This window comes from Homo sapiens, chromosome 1, assembly GCF_000001405.40.
Source record: "Homo sapiens chromosome 1, GRCh38.p14 Primary Assembly".
Classification (NCBI taxonomy): Eukaryota; Metazoa; Chordata; class Mammalia; order Primates; family Hominidae; genus Homo; species Homo sapiens.
This window is the reverse complement of record NC_000001.11, coordinates 160,549,008-160,571,503: the sequence shown is the minus strand read 5'-3', so window position 1 is coordinate 160,571,503 and position 22,496 is coordinate 160,549,008. Positions and strand designations below refer to the sequence as shown.

General features: G+C 41.2%; 1 protein-coding gene and 1 long non-coding RNA gene across 8 annotated transcripts in view, besides 3 other annotated features; one reads left to right on the top strand and one right to left on the bottom strand.

Annotated features, from left to right (window-relative positions):
- CD84 (CD84 molecule) overlaps positions 1 to 22,496 on the top strand; it is a 38,399-nt gene that overhangs the window by 7,993 nt on the left and 7,910 nt on the right. The window contains exons 2-8 of one of the 7 annotated variants that reach the window (XR_921991.4): positions 5,759 to 6,100; positions 17,358 to 17,609; positions 18,007 to 18,126; positions 18,767 to 18,799; positions 20,469 to 20,566; positions 20,658 to 20,893; positions 21,525 to 21,587. Coding sequence is in view for 6 of the 7 variants with exons in the window: in NM_001184879.2 (NP_001171808.1) it covers positions 5,759 to 6,100; positions 17,358 to 17,609; positions 18,007 to 18,144; positions 18,767 to 18,799; positions 20,469 to 20,566; positions 21,525 to 21,587 (926 nt within the window). In the remaining variant the exon portion in view is untranslated. Of the gene's footprint in view, positions 1 to 5,758; positions 6,101 to 17,357; positions 17,610 to 18,006; positions 18,145 to 18,766; positions 18,800 to 20,468; positions 20,567 to 20,657; positions 20,894 to 21,524; positions 21,588 to 22,496 lie in introns of those variants that run through there. The other 6 variants (NM_001330742.2, NM_001184879.2, XM_011510095.3 and 3 more) reach the window with 6 other exon arrangements.
- The window catches only part of CD84-AS1 (CD84 antisense RNA 1), a 34,038-nt gene continuing 11,912 nt past the window's right edge, over positions 371 to 22,496 (bottom strand). The window contains exon 2 of the long non-coding RNA NR_188634.1: positions 371 to 565. This is a non-coding gene — a long non-coding RNA (CD84 antisense RNA 1). The remainder of the gene's footprint in view (positions 566 to 22,496) is intronic.
- Positions 20,567 to 20,796: an enhancer, noted in NCBI's record as "active region_1933". NCBI's record gives its function as "activates an Ori minimal core promoter by ATAC-STARR-seq in GM12878 lymphoblastoid cells {active_cell/tissue: GM12878}" and the evidence as "EXISTENCE:reporter gene assay evidence [ECO:0000049][PMID:35858748]".
- Positions 21,627 to 21,866: an enhancer, noted in NCBI's record as "active region_1932". NCBI's record gives its function as "activates an Ori minimal core promoter by ATAC-STARR-seq in GM12878 lymphoblastoid cells {active_cell/tissue: GM12878}" and the evidence as "EXISTENCE:reporter gene assay evidence [ECO:0000049][PMID:35858748]".
- Positions 22,017 to 22,066: a silencer, noted in NCBI's record as "silent region_1461". NCBI's record gives its function as "represses an Ori minimal core promoter by ATAC-STARR-seq in GM12878 lymphoblastoid cells {active_cell/tissue: GM12878}" and the evidence as "EXISTENCE:reporter gene assay evidence [ECO:0000049][PMID:35858748]".

Here is a 22,496-nt window from a genome sequence, read left to right as displayed (position 1 = left end):
TTGTACTACATTCTCAAAGGCCATCAATAACCTCGTAACGGGCAAACCCAGGGCCATTTTCAGTCTTTATCCCGTTGAACGCTGAATCATTAGACATCAGTGGCAATCTCCTCCTTGAGACTCTTTCTCCTCTCTGTGATATGGCCCACTATTGGTGCCTCTCTTGCACTCTTACTGCTTGGTCTCTTCTGTTTCTTTTGATGGTGTCTCTTCTATAAATGTGAGCACTCTCGCAGGGCTCAGTCGTGGACTTCAGGCTTACTCTTCCTGAATGACCCTCCTCTCCTTCACCCACGCCATTTCTGTGGATGATCTCTAAACCCGCTGGATTTCAGTGTTACAGTAAGTACCAGAGACACTAAAATAAGAATGGCTTAAACAAGAAAGAGGTTTATTTCTTGCTCATGTAAAAAAGTGCGGAGTTGGCAGTTCACAGTCAGTAGAATAGTTCACAAGGTCATTGGGGTTCCAACTTCTATCTTCCTGCTCCACCATCCTCAGAACTTGGCTTCCTCCTCATGACTCAGAATGTCTGTCTAAGATCCAGCTGTCATGACCTTCTGGCCTGCAAAAGCAAGGAAGAGATGAAAACAGCAAATTTCCCTCTTTTTATGTATTTATTTATTTATTGGTTTTCTTCTGAGACAGGGTCTCACTCTGTCACCCAGGCTGGAGTGCAGTGGTGTGGTCTTGGCTTACTGCAACCTTGACCCCCTTGGGCTCAGGTGATCCTCTCATCTCAGCCTCCTGGGCAGCTGGGACTACAGGTGTGCACCATCATGCCCAGGTATATTTTGTACTTTTTTGTAGAGACAGGGTTTTGCCATGTTACCCAGGCTGGTCTCGCACTCCTGGACTCAAGCGATCCACCTGCCTTGGCCTCCCAAAGTGTTGGGATTACAGATGTGAGCCACCATGCCAGGTTCCCACTCTTCTTAAAGACACAGAAGTCATATACAACACTTCCATTTTTATTCTGTTGGGCTGAACTTAGTCATATGACCAACGTTAGCTAGAAGAAAGCAGGACAATATAGTCTTTACTCTGGGTGGCTCTATGCCCTGCTAAAAATTAGTGATTCTATTAATAAGAATGAAGGAGGGAACAAATATTGGAAAACAGCTAGCAGATTCTGCCACAGTGCCCCAAATAATACTTCAAGTCCATTCTCTCTCCTTATCTTCCATCATTCCAAGAGCTTACTTACATGGTCCACCATCATCTGAAGTTTAATATTTCTAACACTAAACTTTCTTCCCCCTTTGACTTCTTTCCATCATAAACTTTATGAGTTTTTCAATGACATAAAGTAGAAACTCAAAATATATTGATGAACAATTGAATTCTAGCAGATGCCTCTTTATTTCTTGCCTTTCTTTGTGTTATCATCAAATCCAGCCCTTCCTTTCCATTCCCATTATCGTCCCCTGGTTCATGCCCAGAAGACTACAGTATCCCTAAATGGCCTCTCTGATGCAGCCTCTCCTTCCTGTTTTCCTCCCCACACATCATTACTACATTACAATGACTAAAACATTATTTTAATCTTCACTCGCAAAAACCTTAATAGTTCCCCTCTGCCTCTGATGGAGACCTCAAACTCAAGGCTGTCTCAAATCTAAACCTAATTTGTATCTCCAGCTGTACCTCTCCCCACTCTGATATGCAAATCTATATTCATCCAATTAACATCACAGGTTCTGCTTCTAAACTTTTGTTCAGGATCCGAGGACTTGAGACACCCCTCCTTTCCCTTTCCATCAAGTAGAATTCTATTCAGCCTTCAAAATCCTCCTCAAATTCTACTTTCTTTGAGATGTTTTTTCTAACCACTACAGCTCAGCAATCCCTCCCTTCTTAGAATTCCTACCGTAATCACTGTTTCTACCATTCACTTGAATTTATTATTCACTATCTCATATTGCAAAGGAGAATTGTGTGTGTGCGTGCGTGCGTGCGTGCGTGTGTGTGTGTGTGTGTGTGTGTATCTTATTTCCCTAACCGGGTATCAAATTCCCCCCGAAAGGCAGAGAATCTGTCTTTGCCATAGACTAGCATAGTGCATTTCATGGTAAGTCCTCAAGATGTTTTTGTGCCACAAGTTATCTCTGAAATTAGATTTTACTAAGGTCACTTCCAGTGATAACATAATGTTAGAGTCCCTTTAGCACCCAGAAAAATAAATATTGGGATTGATTGATATGGACACTCTTTCTTTTAAATCTTAAAATCTTTTAAGAGCAGAATAAAGTCTATCCAGGGTACCTGAAACTGTCCCTCCAGGCTTTACTTGAATTAGCCCTTAAAAATGGCTTTTGATATATGCTCCAGTATGGCCCCGGCATCACCAACGCCATCATAAGGGTGGCCTAGGGCAGGCCCAAAGGGCATGTACCAATTGTTGAAGTGATGATAAAGAACATACGATGAATGTTAATATATCAGTATCAACTCCAGAAATAACTAACATTTATTTTACCTTGATGATCAGCAAAGCATTTCTACTCATATTACATCATTTGCTGCTCACCAAACAGGACAAATAGCATAATTATTATTTTCATTCTATGGATGAAGAAACTGAGGTTCAGAAAGGTTTTGTGACCTGTAATCCCAGCATTTTGGGAGGCTGAGGCGGGCAGAGCATTTGAGGTCAGGAGTTCAAGATCAGCCTGGCCAACATGGTGAAACCCCGTCTCTACTAAAAATACAAAAACTAGCTAGCCGTGATGGCATGCACCTGTAATCCCAGCTACTTGGGTGGCTGAGGCAGGAGAACTGCCTGAACCCGGGAGGTGGAGGTTGCAGTGAGCCAAGATCACTCCACTGCACTCCAGCGTGGGTGACAGTGAGAGAGTGAGACTTTGTCTAAAAATAAATAAATAAATAAGAAAGGTTTTGTGACCTCGTTAAGGTTGTCCAGTTCATAAGTAGAAGTACTTGCACCTACACCTTCTGCCTCCCTATCTTTCCACTGCATGCAATGGTTTTGCAGCTGCTTCTCTCAGAGCACAGTTGGAGTGTTTGAAGGTGGCAGAATCTTCATCTTAAACATGTGCAACCCCTTTGCCTTTTCCAGCAAGCAAAGTATTCTTGCCAACAACACCAGCAGCACAAATAACAGCTTCCCCCAGCTTTGCCTACCCACCACCCCCACTGCCTGATTGCTCTTTGATACCCCACCAACACTTCCTGAATGACTTGCTACAGGAGATGAGACATACTTTTAAAACTGCACCACACACCAACCACTGTGGCTGCTCAACGGCCCTAATATTAAGAAGGTCTCAGCCTTAACAATCTACCTACATACTTCCTGGGGTTTAGTGAGAGAACCCAGCAAAATTACGAGTCTGTGGAATCTATGTTCTGTCTCTCTCCTCACACCTAATCTCAATCCACAGAGTGGTGTGGCAATTAAGCACTAGGGCCTGACTTCAAAAAAGACTTGAGACGTGGGAGATCTGAGACCAGGACTGGCTAGATAATTTGCGAGGCCCAGTGCAAAACGAAAATGGAGGGCCCCTTGTTTAAATAGTATGTAGAATTTAAAGGTGGCAACGCAGCCTTAAGTCCAGTTCAGGGTCCTTTTGAATTCAGGGTTCTGTGCAACTGCATAGATCACATGCCCATGCCTGGACCATCCAGGGATTCACGCTGGGACACTCCAAATACCCCTCTCCTAGAACCCGTCAGCCCAGAAAAACAGTTTATCTGGGAAGAATTAATGTTCTTAAATTTTGGCAAACTATGACTCTTACCACCAAAGGCAGCATTAGCCTCTTTCTGACCCGCTACCCCAATGGCTTATTTCTATTGCTTTTACCATTTAGCACTCATCGTGTTGTATTGTCTTTCACTTGTGACCACATCTGTCTTATTTTCTAGGCTGTGAGCTCCTCAGGGCTGCAACGATGTCCTGTTTATCCCTGTGTCCCTAACACAGCATCTGACACATAATTAGCAGTTAATAAATGTTTGCAGATAAGGGTTCCCAATTTCCCCCTTCCTACTCCCACTCCACATACTCCCCACCCTGTTGTATCTTCTGTACTTAGCCAACCCCCAACTAAATCCTCAGGCCTTGTCCCGGATACTGCTCCTACGGGAAAATCTCTGTTGGTCAGAAAGGAAAGAGCTTTACATCAGCTGTTCCTGGGGCTCTTTCAGTGGTTGCTGAGCTGAAGAGCAAGGGTAGCCATAGTGAGACAACACCATCAGGTTAAGAAATCGCTTTTTTTGTGCCACTTTCAAGGGACGTGTATACTTTATGATCCTTATTCTTCCGTATACCAAGCCTTGGATAAACTTTAGGGTCAACCTGAACCCACTTATGTGGAAAACTGATGTCTGGTCATCAGAGCCTACATGCAACCAGTACACACCAGAACCGCTCAACTAGTTTGTTTATGGCTAACACCCTTTCTGATTGGTCAAGGCCCACGTCATATTGGTTATTAAATACTTTGGATATCATCTATGCTTGCCCCAAACAGTGTTTCTCACTAAAGAGCCCTCATTGAGAATTATAGGATAATGAAGAAGAGGAGGAGAAAGAGCAGAAAAATAATGTCTTGAAGTTACATTGTCTCTCATTTTACAAACTATATATTAAATCAGTTTATCTTCAAAAGTGATAGAGGAGAGAAAAGGGAGGAGAAAATAAGCTTTTCATCTTCCCATGTTACATTTTAAAAGTATTCATCCTTAAGTTTTCACTAGGAAATGTTCCCTCGATTCCCAGAACAGATCAAGTCCCCTTGCTGGTCTCTCTCAAATCACCATAATGCTTACATATTTTGTGCCTATCCATTTGTTTCTATGGTTATCTGATCAACATTGGTATCTTCCTCTGATTGTAAGTCTCAAAGAGCAAGAATTATATCTGTTTCTTCTCGCCGTTGTATCCTCAGCTCCTCGTATCTTGTTTAAAAGAGTAGATGTCCAACAAACACTTACATTATAAATTAAATTAACAAATACCCACCATAGTATCTGGAGCAAAACTGATCCTGAATAAATACATGCAACCATTCACAAATGTATGAATGAATAAACGAAACTTGCTTACTTCAGAAGTTGTTCCAAGAGAGTCTAGGAAACTCATGAGTAAATTCTATCAATTAATTCCACAAATATTTATTAAGCCCCTTCTCTGTGTTAGGCACTCTTCTAGAGACTAGGAATATGGAAGTAAACAGAAAAATATCCCTAAAAATCACCAACTTAGGGAATATTTTCTCCAGAGACTCCAAAGCACTCTCTGCTTCTATCTTCCAAGAAAAGAGACAAAAGTGTTACTTGCTTTTTACAGAGATCACAGGAAAATAAAAAGCAATGACCCAAGAGTCCATCAGCCAAGATATTCCAGGTTCTTGTTCTAGCTCTTCCACCACTTGGCAATATGATCTTGGGAAAGAAGTGCACCTAATATCTTAGACTACGTGGAGGCTTATGGCCTTCACCTCTCAAATGCCTTCTAGCTTTCAGAGTCTGTAAGTCTAGGTAAAAATATTTTTAACAAAATGGATCTCTAGTGAGAAACTTAGTTTTTGAATGAGAATGCGTTAGAAAATTTAGTTGTCATAACATATTAAATACACCTAGAGTAGAATGCCAAAAAAAAAAAAAGGCATCCTCAAGAAACTGGGTGAACTGCATTTGTGGCAGCTCCTCAGGGAGCTCCAAGGCCAAAAAGATTAGGAAGTGAAAAAGCTGCAACAGTCAGATGGCTACAGTTTTCTTTTTATGTTCTCAGGGCCGGAAGCAGCTGGAAAAGACTCAGAAATCTTCACAGTGAATGGGATTCTGGGAGAGTCAGTCACTTTCCCTGTAAATATCCAAGAACCACGGCAAGTTAAAATCATTGCTTGGACTTCTAAAACATCTGTTGCTTATGTAACACCAGGAGACTCAGAAACAGCACCCGTAGTTACTGTGACCCACAGAAATTATTATGAACGGATACATGCCTTAGGTCCGAACTACAATCTGGTCATTAGCGATCTGAGGATGGAAGACGCAGGAGACTACAAAGCAGACATAAATACACAGGCTGATCCCTACACCACCACCAAGCGCTACAACCTGCAAATCTATCGTAAGTCATGGGAAGACGGAGAGCTTGTGTTTTATTTTTACTTTGCAAGTTTGCTATCTGAAACACATCTACATTTCTGATAATTGGGTCCCCTAAATCTTTTTATATCTATAAATACTTACATATTGATACATCAATACTTATAAGAGGATGTAGTCTTATTTCAGTCCTGACTTTGCCTGTTTTTAGCTATGTAATTCTTCCATCAGTAGTTGGTCCCCTGGGCCTTGGTTTTCTTTTTTACATAATGTCAATGATCATACTACTCACTTCCCAGGGTTATCATGAGGATCAAATGAGATAGTGTATGCAAAGTGCTTTAAAAAAACTTTTCATTTTGAGATCATGATAGATGCAAAGAAGGTACAAATAAATATACAGGGAGGTTCTATGTACCCTTCACCCTGTGTTAACACCTTGCATAACTATAGCACAATATCAAAAACAGGAAATTGACATTAGCACAATCTATAGAGCTTATTTAGGTTTCACCACGTATGCATGCATTCATTTATGTGTGAGTATGTGTGTAGCTCTGTACAATTTAATCACATGGGTAGTTTTGTGTAACCACTACCATAATCAAGATTAACCATCACAAGATTCCCTCATACTCTCCCTTTATAGCCACATCTCCATCTTTCCCTTCCCCAGTCCCTGAAAAACAACCAGTTTGTTCACATCTACAACTATGTCATTTCACACATGTTATGTAGATGGAATAATGAAGGACGTATCTTTTTGAGGTTGGGTATTTTTCACTTAGCGTAATGTCACTGAGATTCATCCAAACTCTTGTGTGTACTAATAGTTTATACCTTTTTATTGCTAGATAGTATTCCACGGTATGGATGCACTAGGTTGTTTAACCATTCACCTCTTGAGGAACATTTTAGTTCTTTCCAGTTTGGGGCTATTACAAATAAAGCTGCTGTGAATATATGTGTACACATTTCTGCATGAAATAAGTTTTTATTTCTCTGGGATAAATGCTCAAGAATGTAATTTTATGATAAGGGCATTTACAGCTTTAAAAGAAACTGATAAACTATTTTCAACTTTCCATTCTCACCAGGAATGTATGAGTGATCCAGTTTCTCTACATCCTCACTAGCATTTGGTGTTATTATTTTTCATTTTGGCCATTCTGATGGGTGTGCAGTGATAACTCAATTTAGTTTTAATTTGAATTTCTAGTAGTTAATGCAAAGTGCTTTTGAAAGGTAAAATATTATAACTATTTGTTATCATCATTATAATTGCCACAATTCACTGGGAGATGTGCGTGCTTTGTTTTGCAAGCTACCCCAAGTGTGGTCTGTAGACTGGCAGTATCAGCATCAACTGGGAGCTTTTTGGAAATGCGAATGTTCAGGTCCTCCCCCTGACCTTTGTGAATGAATGAAGTCCAGGAATCTGTGTTTAATGTTATCTCTGGATTATTCCCACCTGTGCCAAAGTTTGAGAAAGTACGGACCTAGTGCTGCCCTATTCACTATGGTAGCCTCTAGACACATGCAGCTCTTGAGCATCTGAAATGTGGTGAGTCCAAATTGAGATGTGCTGTAAGTGTAAAATTCATACCAGATCTTGAAATCTTAGCACCAAAAAAATATATAAAATATCTCAATAATTTTCTTTTTTTTCTTCAATGTTTATTTTAAGTTCAGGGGTACATGTGCAGGATGTCAAAGTTTGTTACATAGGTAAATGTGTGCCATGGTGGTTTGCTGCACAGATCATTCCATCATCTAGGTATTAAGACCAACATCCATTAGCTAACCTTCCTGATCCTCTCTCTCCCCCAACCCCTCTCCAACAGGTCCCAGTGTGTGTTGTTCCCCTCCATGTGTTCTCATCATTCATCTCCCACTTATAAGTGAGAACATGTGGTGTTCGGTTTTCTGTTCCTGCATTAGTTTGCTGAGGGTAATGGCTTCCAACTCCATCCATGTCCCTGAAAAGGACATGATCTTGTTCCTTTTTATGGCTGCATAGTATTCCATGGCATATATGTACCACATTTTCTTTATCCAATCTATCATTGATGGGCATTTGGGTTGATTCCATATCTTAGCTATTGTGAATAGTGCTGCAATGAACATACATGTGCAAGTATCTTTATAATAGAATGATTTATATTCTTTGGGGTATACACCCAATAATGGGTTTGCTGGAACAAATGGTATTTCTGCCTCTAGGTTTCTGAGGAATGGCCACACTGTCTTCCACAATGGTTGGAATTAACTAATTTACACTCCCACCAACATTGTAAAAGCATTTCTTTTTCCCTGCAATCTTGCCAGCATCTGTTGTTTCTTGACTTTATTAATAATTGCCATTCTGACGGGCAGGAGATGGTATCTCATTGTGGTTTTGATTTGCATTTTTCTAATGATCAGTGATGTTTAGCTTTTTTTCACATGTTTGTTGGCTGCATGAATGTCTTCTTTTGAGAAGTGTCTGTTCATGGTTTTTGCCCAGTTTTTAATGGGGCTGTGTGTGGTTTTTTTTCTGTTTGTTTTTTCCTTAAACGTTTGTTTAAGTTCCTTGTGGACTCTGGATATTAGACCTTTGTCAGATGGATAGACTGGAAAAATTTTCTCCCATTCTGTAGGTTGTTTGTTCACTCTGATGATAGTTTCTTTTGCTGTGCAGAAGCTCTTTAGTTTAATCAGATCCCATTTGTCAATTTTTGCTTTTGTTGCAATTGCTTTTGACATTTTCATCATGAAATCTGTGCCCGTGCCTATGTCCTGAATGGTATTGCCCAGATTTTCTTATAGGGTTTTTATACTTTGGGGCTTTACATTTAAGTCTTTAATTCACCTTGAATTAATTTTTGTTTAAGGTATAAGGGAGTGGTCCAGTTTCAATTTTCTGCATGTGGCTAGCCAGTTCTCCCTGCACCATTTTTAAATAGGGAATCCTTTTCCCATTGTTTTTGTCAGGTTTGTCGAAAATCTGATAATTGCTGGTGTGTGGTCTTATTTTTGAGTTCTTTATTCTGTTCCATTGGTCTATGTGTCTGTTTTTGTACCAGTGCCGTGCTGTTTTGGTTACCTTGGCCTTGTAGTATAGTTTGAAGTTGGGTAGTGTGATGCCTCCAGTTTTGTTCTTTTTGCTTAGGACTGTCTTGGCTATTCAGGCTCTTTTTCATCCATATGAATTTTAAAGTAGTTTTTTCTAATTCTATGAAGAATGTCAATAGTAGTCTAATGTGAATAGCTTAGAATCTATAAATTACTTTGGGCAGTATGGCCATTTTCATGATATTGATTCTTCCTATCCATGAGCATGGAATGTTTTTCCACTTATTTGTGTCCTCTCTGATTTCTTTGAGCAGTGGTTTGTAGTTCCCCTTGAAGAGGTCCTTCACTTTCCTTGTTAGCTGTATTCCTAGGCATATTAATCTTTTTGTAGCAATTGTGAATGTCCTTCACTTTCCTTGTTAGCTGTATTCCTAGGCATATTAATCTTTTTGTAGCAATTGTGAATGGGAGTTCATTAATTATTTGGCTCTCTGCTTGCCTGCTGTTGGTGTATAGGAACATTAGTGATTTTTGCCCATTGATTTTGTATCCTTGAGGATTGCTGAAGTTGTTTAACAGCTTAAGAAAATATTGGCCTGAGATTATGGGGTTTTCTAGATATAGGATCATGTCATCTGCAAACGGAGACAGTTTGACTTCCTCTCTCCCTATTCGAATACCCTTTATTTCTTTCTCTTGCCTGATTGCTCTTGCCAGAACTTTCAATACTATGTTGAATAGGAGTGATGAAAGAGGGCATTCTTGTCCTGTGCTGGTTTTCACAGGGAATGCTTCCTGCTTTTGCCCATTCAGTATGATATTGGCGTGAGTTTGTCATATGTGGCTCTTATTATTTTGAGGTGTGTTCCTTCAATACCTAAGTTATGGAGAGTGTTTAACATGAAGTGATGTTGAATTTTATTGAAGGCCCTTCTGCCTCAGTTGAGATGATCTGTGGGTTTTGTCTTCAGTACTATTTATGTGATGAATCACACTTACTGATTTGGATATGTTGAACCAAACTTGCATCCTAGGGATGAAGCCAGCTTGGTCGTGGTGGATAAGCTTTATGATGTGCTGCTGGTTTTGGTTTGCCAGCATTTTACTGAGGATTTCTGCATCAATGTTCATTAAGGATATTGGCCTGAAGTTTCCTTTTTTGGTTTTATCTCTACCAGGTTTTGGTATCAGGATGATGATGGCCTCAGAATGAGTTAAGGAAGAGTTCCTCCTTTTCAATTTTTTGGAATAATTTTAGTAGAAATTATGCCAGCTCTTCTTTGTACTTCTTGTAGAACTCAGCTGTGAATCTGTCTGGTCCTGGCTTTTGTTTTGTTTTGTTTTGTTTTGTTTTTGGTTGGTAGGCTATTTAGTACTGCCTCAATTTCAGAACTTGTTATTGGTCTGTTCAAAAATTCAACTTCTTCCTGGCTCAGTCTTGGGAGTGTGTAAGTGTCCAGGAATTTATCCATTTCTTCTATATTTTCTAGTTTATGTACATAGAGATATTTATAGTATTCTCTGATGGTTGTTTGTATTGCTTTGGGGTCAGTGATGATATCCCCTTTATCATTTTTTATTGTGTTTATTTGATTCTTCTCTCTTTTCTTCTTTACTAGTCTAGCTAGCAGTCTCTCTATTTTTCTCATTTTTTCAAAAAGCCAACTTCTGGATTTGTTGATTTTTTGAATGGTTTTTTGTGTCTCTGTCTCCTTCAGTTCAGCCCTGATCTTTATTATTTCTCATCTTCTGCTAGCTTTGGGGTTTGTTTGTTTTTGGTTCTATAGTTCTTTTAGTTGTGATGTTAGGTTGTTAACTTGAGATCTTTCTAGCTTTTTGATGTGGGCATTTAGTGCTGTAAGTTTCCCTCTTAACAATCCTTTAGCCTGCCTTGCAGAGATTCTGGTACATTGTCTCTTTGTTCTCATTAGTTTCAAAGAACTTGATTTCTGCCTTAATTTCATTGTTTACCCAAGAGTCATTCAGGAACAGATTGTTGAATTTCCATGTAATTGTGTGGTTATGAGTGAATTTCTTAATTTTGAGCTCTAATTTGATTGTGCTATGATCTGAGAGACTGTTTCCCTGAATGATTTCAGGTCTTTCGCGTTTGCTGAGGAGTGTTTTACTTCCTATTATGTGATCAATTTTAAAGTAAGTGCATACGGTGTTGAGAAGAATATATATTCTGTGGAATTCGGGTGGAGAGTTCTGTAGAGGTCTACAGGTATACTTGATCCAGAGCTGAGTTTAGGTTCTGAATATCTTTGTAAACTTTCTGCCTTAATGGTCTGTCTAATATGGTAAGTAGGGTGTTTAACTCTCCCATTATTATTGTGTGAGAGTCTAAGTCTTTTTGTAGATCTCTAAGAACTTGCTTTATGGATTTGAGTGCTCCTGTATTGTGTGCATATATATTTAGGATAGTTAGCACTATCCTAACTATCCTGGTAAAGGGTAGTTACCCATTACCATCATGTAATGTCCTTCTTTGTCTTTTTTTATCTTTGTTGCTTTAAAGTCTATTTTGTCAGAAACTAGGATTGTAACTTCTGCTTTTTTCTGTTTCCCATTTGCTTGGTAAATTTTTCCCTATCCCTTTATTTTGAGCCTATGTGTGTCTTTGCATGTGAGATGGGTCTCTTGAAGACAGCATACAAATGGGTCTCAGCATACCAGTTTGCCATTCTGTGATTTTTTAAATTGGGGGCATTTAGCGCATTTACACTTAAGGTTAGTGTTGTTATGTGTGAATTTGATCGTGTCATCATTATGCTAGCTGGTTATTTTGCAGACTTGTTTATGTAGTTGCTTCATAGTGTCACTGGTCTGCATACTTCAGTGTGTTTTTGTAGTGGCTGGTACCTGTTTTCCCTTTCCTTATTTAGTGCTTCCTTCAGGAGCTCTTGCAAGGCAGGCCTGGTGGTCGCAAATTCCTTCAGCATTTGCTTGTTTGGAAAGGATTTTATTTCTTCTTCACTTATGAAGCTTAGTTTGGCCAGATATGAAATTCTGGGTTGAAAATGGTTTTCTTCAATAATGTTGACTATTGGCCCCCAATCTCTTCTGGCTTGTAGAGTTTCTACTGAGAGGTACACTTTTAGTCTGATGTGCTTCCCTTTGTAGGTGACCTGGCCTTTCTCTCTGGTTGCCTTAACATTTTTACTTTCATTTCGACCTTGGAGAATCTGATGATTACGTGTCCTGGGGTTGATTTTCTCATGGAGTATCTCACTTGTGTTCTCTGCATTTCCTGAATCTGAAGGTTGGCCTGTCTTGCTAGGCTGGGGAAGTTCTCCTGGATGATATCTTGAAGTATGTTTTCCAACTTAGTTCCATTCTCCCCATCTCTTTCAGCTACCCCAATTGGTCATAGGTTTGGTCTCTATACATAACTCCATATGTCTTGGAGGTTTCATTCATTCCTTTTCATTCTTTTTTCTTTTTTCTTGTCTGCCTGTCTTATTTCAGAAAGATAGTCTTCAAGTTCTATGATTCTTTCCTCCACTTGGTCTGTTCTGCTGTTGATACTTGTGATCAGTATCTCGTGTTGTGGTTTTCAGCTCCATCAGGTCGGTTTTGTTCCTCTCTAAACTGGCTATTCTGGCTATCAGCTCCTGTATTGTCTTATCATAATTCTTAGCTTCTTTGCATTGAGTTAGAACATGCTCCTTTAGCTCAGCAAAGTTTGTTATTACCCACCTTCTGAAGCCTACTTCTGTCAATGCAGCCATCTCAGCCTCAGCCCAGTTCTTTGCTTTTGCTGGAGAGGTATTGTGGTCATTTGGAGAAGAAGAGGCATCCTGGCTTTTTGAGTTTTCAGCATTTTTGCATTAATTCTTTATTATCTTTGTGGGCTTATCTACTTTTTATCTTTGAGGTCACTGACCTTCCAATGGGGTTTTTCTGAGGTCTTTTTTGTTGATGCTGTTGTTTTCTGTTTGTTGGTTTTTCTTTCAATAGTCAGGCTACTCTTCTGTGGGGCTGTTGCAGTTTGCTGAGGGTCCACTCCAGACCCTAATTGCCTCAGTTTTTCCTATACCTGGAGGTATCACGAGTGAAGTCTGCAAAACAGCAAAGATGGCAGCCTGCTCCTTTTTCTGGAAGCTCCATCCCAGGGGTGTACTGACCTGTTGCCAGCCTGAATACACCTGTAGGAGGTGGCTAGGGACCTCTGTTGGGAGGTCTCAACCTGTCAGGAGGAACAGGATCAGGGACCCACAAAAAGAATCAGTCTGGTTGCTTTTTGATAGAGCAGGTGTGCTGCATTGGAGGCTCCCTTCCTTGTCCAGACTCTCTGGACTCTCCAAAGCCAGCAGGCTGGAACAGCTGAGTTGACTGAATGGCAGAAATGGTGGCCGCCCCTCCCCATAGGAGCTCTGCCCCAGGGAGAATTCAAAACTCTGTCTGTATAACCCTGGCTAGAGTGGCTGAAGCCCCTGCAGGGAGGTCCCACCCAGTGAGAGTAAAGCAGCAGTCTGATCTGGCAAAGCAGCTGTGCCGCGTTGTAGGGGACCCTTCCTCCTCCAGATCATTTGAACTCTCCAAAGCTGGTAGGCTGGAATGGCTGAAGCTACTGAACCACAGAGATGGCAGACGCCCCCTCCTCAGTAATTTTCATATTAGGGAAAAGAAATTTTTGTTATATTGGGTTAAATATAATGCATAATTTAAAAGTAATATTACCTGCTTGTTTTGACTTTTGAAATGTGATTATTAGAAAATTTAAAATTACATAAGTGACTCACATTACATTTCTTTTGGGCAACACTAGTTTCTAGCATAGAGAACACCTTGGCCATTTCTCAAAGATTTCACTGTTCATCTGCCTCATTGCAGAAAAACACAGAAATGTGGGTAATCCATGTTGTGACAGATGCAATTCAGGTATATAGGTCACCCACTAAAATGCAAGTTCCATAAAGGCAGGGACTTTGTATATTGTTTATCACTGTATTCCCAGCACCAACATCATCAGGTACATAGTGGATGCTCCAGAAGTATTTGTTGAAAAAGAATGAATGAATAGTATTATTCCCAGGTTTCACAGTGCTTAGCAATTGTGAATGTTCGATTAATATAAGATGATTGAATCAGTTTCTATACCGATGGACAGCATAGCGGAAAGAACGCTAATGTTGGGATTAGGCATACTTTGCCAGCTGTATGATCTTGGGCAAGTTGTTTAACCTCTCTGTTCCAAAGTTTCCTCACTTATAGAATGTAGATCGTAATTGATGGTATTAAATGAGATAATGGTAGTTGAGCTCCCTAGTATAGTGCCTGCCTTAAAGTAAATGCTCAATAACTAGTAATCATTAATTTTTTAATCCTTATCCCTTAAAAAAAATCTCATTATGAAGGACTTCCTAGATGAAGAAGGCTCTGAACTAGGCTTGAATAATGTAGTCAAAGAGCCATACCCAAATGTCAACCCTTTAGAAAATATTTAACTCATTCGAGAACTTTAGCTGAGAAAATAAAGATGGTATTCAATTTTAAGATATTGATTTTTAACCCTTTATATGTTTAATTTTGCCTACCCAATCTTCAGAAAGTCTTCTACCACGTGCAATTAGGACACAGTACAGTAATATCTTAGAGAAAGCTGTACTGTATATACAATAAAATCTGTACCTTATGGGTAGTTAGCTGGGAAAATAAAGAGAAGGAAACTAACATTTATTGAACATCATTTATGTGTTTGGCATTCTAATATCTATTTTAAAAATATATAGACTATACATATTTAAGCACTGTATGCACAAAAAGAGCAAAAGATAATACAATGAGATGTAACTCTCTCTTCTCAGAGGCAGTGGCTGTAGCCAGCTTCTTCTGTGTCTTCCATAGATAATTAATGTGCATACCAGCATAGACAGACAGATAGATGATAGATAAGTAAATAGGTAATTAGAATAATCTTTATCTTCAAAATCTCATTTAATCCTCACAACAATTGTATTTAGGGAAAAATTTTTACCCTCATGTTATAAATAAGGGAGCTGAAGCTCCATGAATCTGTATACCTTCTCCATTATTCCATAGCTAGAGAGCAGTAGAGCCTGGATTCTGAACCAGGTCTCCAGTGGCTTCCACAATCTTGGCTTGGGAGGATGAAGATCTGTCGGCCATGACTCTGACTTTCTCTTCCCAGCATCTTTGTGCAGGCAACACCTCTGTTCCTGCTGAGAAAAGTGAGATGGGATCCTCTTCTTTACCACTGTCCCCTACCTCAACACCTACCCCCAACAATTGGTAAACACCAAGCACTCCCTAGGCATTTTTGTAAATCAAATTTCTAAAGAAACACACACGCACACACACAAAATTTTGTTCACTTTCTACTAATTGATATCGTATCAGTCACTATTATAGTTAATCCAGGTCTGTACCCCAAACTTGTTTTGGGTTTATTCCAAGTCTTCACTAATTCTAATATGGAATAGATCCCTCTAAAAGATTGTTAGGACCAGAATTTCTGGCTAGCTTGGAATCAAACATTTTTACAGCTTCTTACTGTTCATGTTGAGTTCCTTCACAAACGCAAGATAATGGTTCTTATATCTTGTGTCTACACTTCTGAATTTATTGCCTTTCTAGTTGTGCACCAGTTCCTTCTGACTCCTCTATTCCCTTCCTCACATAGCTACAGTGGAAGAAACAAACCCCACCACAGCAACTTTGCTGAGAGGGCGCTGAACTTATTAACTCCAAATGTGGTCATTTTCTTATTCCTGGTAAAAGAAAAGACCTTAACGCTTCCCCATGCCAGCTCCAGTCCTAGCTATCACTTGAATTATTATTGTTCTTTAGTAACCCTTTACTAGCCTTCAACTTTTATAGTTTACTTTTTGATTGCTTAAGTAAAAACATTTTAATGAACTTTTAAAGAAATTATAGCTTTCCACCATGGATAGTTTTTAAAAAATAAAGAAAATATACATACACCAGAAAACAGAATGAAAAAAAATTTTAAAGATTATTTTGGCTGGGTGCGGTGGCTCACACCTGTCATCCCAGCACTTTGGGAGGCCGAGGCGGGTGGATCACGAGGTCAGGAGATTGAGACCATCCTAGCTAACACGGTGAAACTCCATCTCTACTAAAAATACAAAAACAAAATTAGGCGTGGTGGTGGGCACCTGTAGTCCCAGCTACTCCTCGGGAGGCTGAGGCAGGAGAATGGCTTGAACCCAGGAGGCGGAGCTTGCAGTGAGCCGAGATCATGCCACTGCACTCCAGCCTGGGTGACAGAGCAAGACTCCGTCTCAAAAAAAAAAAAAAAAAGATTATTTCATGTAGTTGTGTGCTGATAAATATTTAATTAGCTCTTAATTGGGTGTGTGTATTCATATATATATATAAAATTTATGTTTAGTACAAATTTTATTGACTTGAAGGATGTGTAGCACACAGTTTCATTAATGATAATAAATATATAATAGTCTTTATTGTAAATTCTATATAGAATTTATTTTGCTGAGAGGGCACTAGAGGATAAATTCCAATTATTCTTACAGAATGCTTTCATTGATTTTTGCTAAGCATTTATATCCCTAATCAGCTTATAGTTGTAATTGATGTATGAGTATAGTTCCAACACAAACATCGGTTGATATTTTCATTTCAGTTAAATAATAAGAAAAAAGTGATTCAACAAAGACATATATATTGGAGCTTCATTTGTTTATCAATGACACGAGCGACTTCTTTGCTGAATTGGATAATGGTTTCCAAATACCAGAAGAATACTTCCTATTTTTTGTGCTATTCACAATGTAATGGCTACAGATATTATACAATTTTAAGTTTCATCTGCATTCCTCCATTGCTATCTTAAGTCTAGAGCAACAATCATCAAAACAGTAAATCGAGTCCTAGCTTATAGCAATTGCAAATTTCTGTGGGGTAATACTCCTACCATGGCTGATTTTAAGACATGCAGAATTAGAAAGACAGATACTCTGTTAACAAAGGACAGATACAATAGATGTAGATAACCTCGAGAGCATAGACAGCAGGAAAATGTCAAAAAAAGGATTAGAAAGTGATGAGTTTTGAGGATTTATTATCTTTATTTTTAACATAATTTATTTAATTATGTTTTTATAATTTAATTTTTAATGATGGCTTGCAAATTTCTGAGAATTTAACAATTGGCTCCCACAAACTAGTACAAGCCAGCTCCAGCTCACTATTGGCTCATGTGTTTGCCCCCACAGGTCGGCTTGGGAAACCAAAAATTACACAGAGTTTAATGGCATCTGTGAACAGCACCTGTAATGTCACACTGACATGCTCTGTAGAGAAAGAAGAAAAGAATGTGACATACAATTGGAGTCCCCTGGGAGAAGAGGGTAATGTCCTTCAAATCTTCCAGACTCCTGAGGACCAAGAGCTGACTTACACGTGTACAGCCCAGAACCCTGTCAGCAACAATTCTGACTCCATCTCTGCCCGGCAGCTCTGTGCAGGTAACCAGCTCTGCCCATCTCTCCTGGTGAGTCTCAGAGATCACTCTGAGGAGCTGCAAGGTCTGAACGTGGGCCACATTCTCTAGGGAGATGTGCTTCCTTTATCTTTGGCCTGGTCACTGAGGGCATCACCTCCCAAGAAGCCTACTGGGAAAGAGGCCAAAGCCTTCTGAGAGATGCTAGACATTTCTGGGTGTTCTGTGGCAGCCCCTGATCAACTCTCTGATTCAATTTCTCATCCTGGCTTTTAATAGCAGAAAGTTTAGTTTCCCTAGGAGCTTTGGCACTCCTTCGGAGGGCACCCAATTTTCATAATGCCCCTGACTGTGGGCAAACCTGCCCAGCCTCTTGGGCCTATTTCCTGAGAATCAAGACTCACTGCATCTTCTATTTCCAGACATCGCAATGGGCTTCCGTACTCACCACACCGGGTTGCTGAGCGTGCTGGCTATGTTCTTTCTGCTTGTTCTCATTCTGTCTTCAGTGTTTTTGTTCCGTTTGTTCAAGAGAAGACAAGGTAGGATTTTCCCAGAAGGTAAAATGTGGAAACTCACCTTCTCTCCTCCTGGGACTGAAGCCATTTATCCAAGGTTTAGCTGAAAGGCCCATTGTTCCAGGGAATCTGCCTTTTTCCGATCTCCACCCCACCACCTCCCAGAATGATGGCTCTGAGGATGGTATGACATTACCCTGAATGGTCTTCAGAATCCATTCCTGAGATCACCAGTAGCTGGTGGGCCCAGAACATGGGTTCGAGCTTAGTACATACATGAACAAGCTGTGCTTCACTGTACGAGTGTGTTCACCTTTCCAGCTCAGGGCCCTCACATGTGAAATGTTTGGACTAGAGGATCTCCAGGGTCACTTCCAATTTCATTGTATTTTGATTATGACTATTGGAGAGTCATTGAGAAACATATACTAATCCTGTACTCCATGGTTGTCACTATGTCCCTCTGAATCCCTCTGGATCATTCTGTAGTTGTGCCATTCTCCATTCAGAAAACCTGATCTTAGACCCTCAAGGAATCATTATACCCTCCGATTCACCCACATCCCATGTCCACCCAAGAACTTCCTTTTCCCACCAATCACAATAAAAAACATGGAACTTCTGCTTCCATGTTCCTGACTCTCCTTTGGGTCTGATTCCTCAGGTTCCTGCTTGAACACCTTCACTAAGAACCCTTGTAAGTTCTCAGCCACAAAGTTCCTTGAATAACAATTGGGAGGGATGGGGAGTTCCCAACAGAGTGGTTAAGACTAAGCACGTGATTTGCAGTCAGTCTAGGCGTGAAAGTCCCAGCTTGACCATTTATCAGCTACCAGTTTTTTTATCATTGTAAGCTTCCATTTTCTCAGTTGTAAAATATTCACAGTAATAAGGTGTGCTGTATATACTTATTAAGTAGATTAAATGGAATTAGAAATACAAAATACTTGGCCCAATTCCCAGTACATAGTAAGTACTTGATAAATGTTAGCTAGTATACTGATAACTGATTGGCCTGGGGCATGGTACGGAGGAGGCATTCTAGGGGGGAGGGGATTTGTGACGTGTGCCATACTCAAATGGCCTCACAATGGGGAGAAGGCATAGCCTGCTTGAACCACAGGTGATCTGCAAGGTCCCTCAAAGAGATATTGTCTTCAATCCCTCGCTGACTCTTGGGAAGAGAAAGGGCTATTCTTTGCATCTATAAATGAGACAAGAGAGAGCACTCAGTTTGTCTCATACTCACCAAATAAGTGATAGGACTAAACTCTGAATGTTGGAGCCCTGTAATACTGCTCAGCTCAGACCTGTTATTTGTAGGTATGTTGGTGCCCTGGATTATGAAGGCCCAAAATTCTGGCCTTCTTTTTTCACCTTGACCCTAAAATGTTCTGTGTTAGTACCAAAGCAAAGGAGTACACTGACGTGAATGTCTCTTCTAGCCTATACATTCTTAAAAGGAAAGACTTGTCTACTGTCTTTTCTTCTCTGGGGCCTCACACAGAGCCTGGCACATAGAAGGTGCTTAATAAATGTTTATTAACTGTGTGAACTGGCAGGGTGCTGTGGCTCATGCCTGTAATCCCAGCGCTTTGGGAGATCAAGGCATGTGGATCAGCTGAGCTCAGGAGTTCAAGACCAACCTGGGCAACATGGTGAAACCCTGTCTCTACCAAAAATACAAAAAATTTGCTGGGTGTGGTGGCACATACCTGTGGTCCCAGCTACTCAGAAGGCTGAGGTGGGAGGATCACTTGAGTCCAGAAGATAGAGGTTGCAGTGAGCCATGAGTTGGTGCACCACTGCACTCCAACGTGGGTGACAGAGTGAGAACTTGTCTCAAAAACAAACAAAAACAGACTGTGAATCAATCAAACAAGCAATAAATGTTCATGAAACATCTACTATGGGCTTAACATTGAGATGGTTACAGCAAGGTCTGCACCAAAAGAATGTAAAATAGTATATAACTAGAAAGAATCAATCAAGTTAAAAAACTAAGACCGTGACATGGAAAGTCAACTAGCCATGCAAGACAGTCAGTGGTAAGTGTCAGAAACATGAAGGGAGATCCTGGGTAGAAGAGCTACATTTGACTGGCCACACAGGGAGGGGTTGGGGAAATTGTCTTTGGCCTAATCTGGACTCTAGAGTAGAAGAGAATTCCCATTGACCTGTGGGTGAGGCCTCAGCCAAGTGACTCCTGAGACATTCTGAGGATCCAAGCATCCATTTCAAAGGATGGCAGCCATTTAATCCCTGGGGGCTTCCTTTCTTCATCTTAAAAAGAGAACATTGGAATAGATCATTGCTAAAAAAACCACCTTTCACAGACTGTGGGTCTATATTTATTTGTGAGACAGATGCTGCCTCAAAGAAAACCATATACACATATATCATGGCTTCAAGGAACACCCAGCCAGCAGAGTCCAGAATCTATGATGAAATCCTGCAGTCCAAGGTGAGCTGATGCAATTCATGGACACCCCTGTGCCACCATCTCCATGACAGGGAGTCATGGGCAGCCATTGCCTCTGCTTGTTGTTGTCTAGAAAGCAGCCACGGCCAAGAGTCCAGAGGTTCCAACCAGGAAATACCATGTCAGGGAAGTGATGCCACGGATCTTTCTATGAGGACAGGAACGTGACCCATTGTCACCCCATGGCAGCCTCCATGGGCTGAGGCACTGAGTGTCCCACAGTGGGCCCGGCTCCAGGTTAGATGAGCCATGACTAGGAGCAAGGCGCCCCCTAGAGGGGCCACACAACAGAGGAGCTACTGGAGTGAGGTGAGGGCTGCTATGTGACTACCAACGTGGTGAACAGGTTGCTAAGGGGGCTACGAGGCAACAGAACTGACAGACAAGTTCCCTTGAATGCCCCTCCTGGTCTAGCAGCAGCGGCTTGCTTTCCTCAGACTCAGAGTCACTGTTCCACACCCCTCCTCCCATCCGCCCTTTACCTGCCTGCCCCTCCCTCCCCTCCACCCTGGATCGCCCTCTCCTGTGTCCCCACCAGCCTGCCTCCTTAAAGTCTGCAAGGAATCAAGGGGGAGACTGAGGTCTGCCTGGTCAGTCTAGCGCTGTGCTTGGACTGATAGGGCAGCTGGATCCATAGAGCCCATGGAAAGCTAAAATCCTGACTGAGCAGGACTCATCCTGAACCATGGGATCCCTCCTCTTGGCCCCTGAGGTTTTTCACCCCCGAGACCCTGCCCAACTGCTACCCATTCACCCCCACCTTATCCCTTCCTGATCCTAAGCCTCTCCAGAGTTGGATGGAGGCAGAACTGAGGCCAAAGGGGAGGCCACCCAGTAAATGTGGGACCAGGGAAGGATGGTGGGTAGAGGCAGAATTAGGAAAGGGGACTTGTAGATGGGCCTGGGCTCCCTCACTGAGGGGAAGATGTGTGTTTTACAGGTGCTTCCCTCCAAGGAAGAGCCAGTGAACACAGTTTATTCCGAAGTGCAGTTTGCTGATAAGGTAACCCCTTTCTGGCTTTTTATCCTTGCTTTCCTAACTCTTCCAGCCATTCTGGTGCACCCGGTCCATCCAACCAGGGGCTAGCTGGTTCCCCTGGGACTCCTTGTAGTTCTCAGGACCCACTGCCTAGGTTTTTGGTCTATATGTACTTCCACCCATGCACAAAGCCCCACTCCCTAGGTCAATGGCCATCCACGAGTTATCTTACTTGGGATGCTGATCCCACCCTTCAAATGCAGAAGTCCCTATGCCTCTGAACTACGGTATGGGAACTCCATCCCGTATAATACCTGGGGTCACTGCTAGCTCACAGTGTGAAAATGAGAAAACAGGTGCTTCCCTCTGAGCAAACACAGGCCCATGCCAGATGCCCAGATGGGTGCAATGGAGCAGAAGCTGAATTTCAGTTCATTTGCTCCCTCAGCTGCTCTTTTACCACACGCAGCCTGCACAACCATTTGTAGTGCCAAGTGCCTTGTGCCTTATGCCTGTGCCTTATGTCCTTCTCTGTCATATGCAAAGCCCTCTGACAGGACTTTAAATTTTGGGGATCTAAGGAGGGATTGTCACTATCTGAAGGTCCTCACTGCTGCTACAATCAGGACAGCTTTAGGGTTGCTTAAAGAATCATGTTTTCTAAGTATTCCTGTTTAATAGCTGAGTTACCAAGCAGGAAGCTAAACTGAGTACGAATTGAGAGTGATCCTATAAGGCAATAGGGAGGACATCTATGAGCTCGACAAGCAGGGCAGTGCTACTTCCTTTTAAGGAGGACTTGAAGCACAGGGCAGTTTGCTTGAAAAGATAAGCCAAATGGACTGGACAACCAGATAGAGGGACATTTACTTTCTTAGTGATCAGGAGAGGGAAGGAGGGAAAGAAAAAGAAGGGGAGGAATGAGGAAAGAAG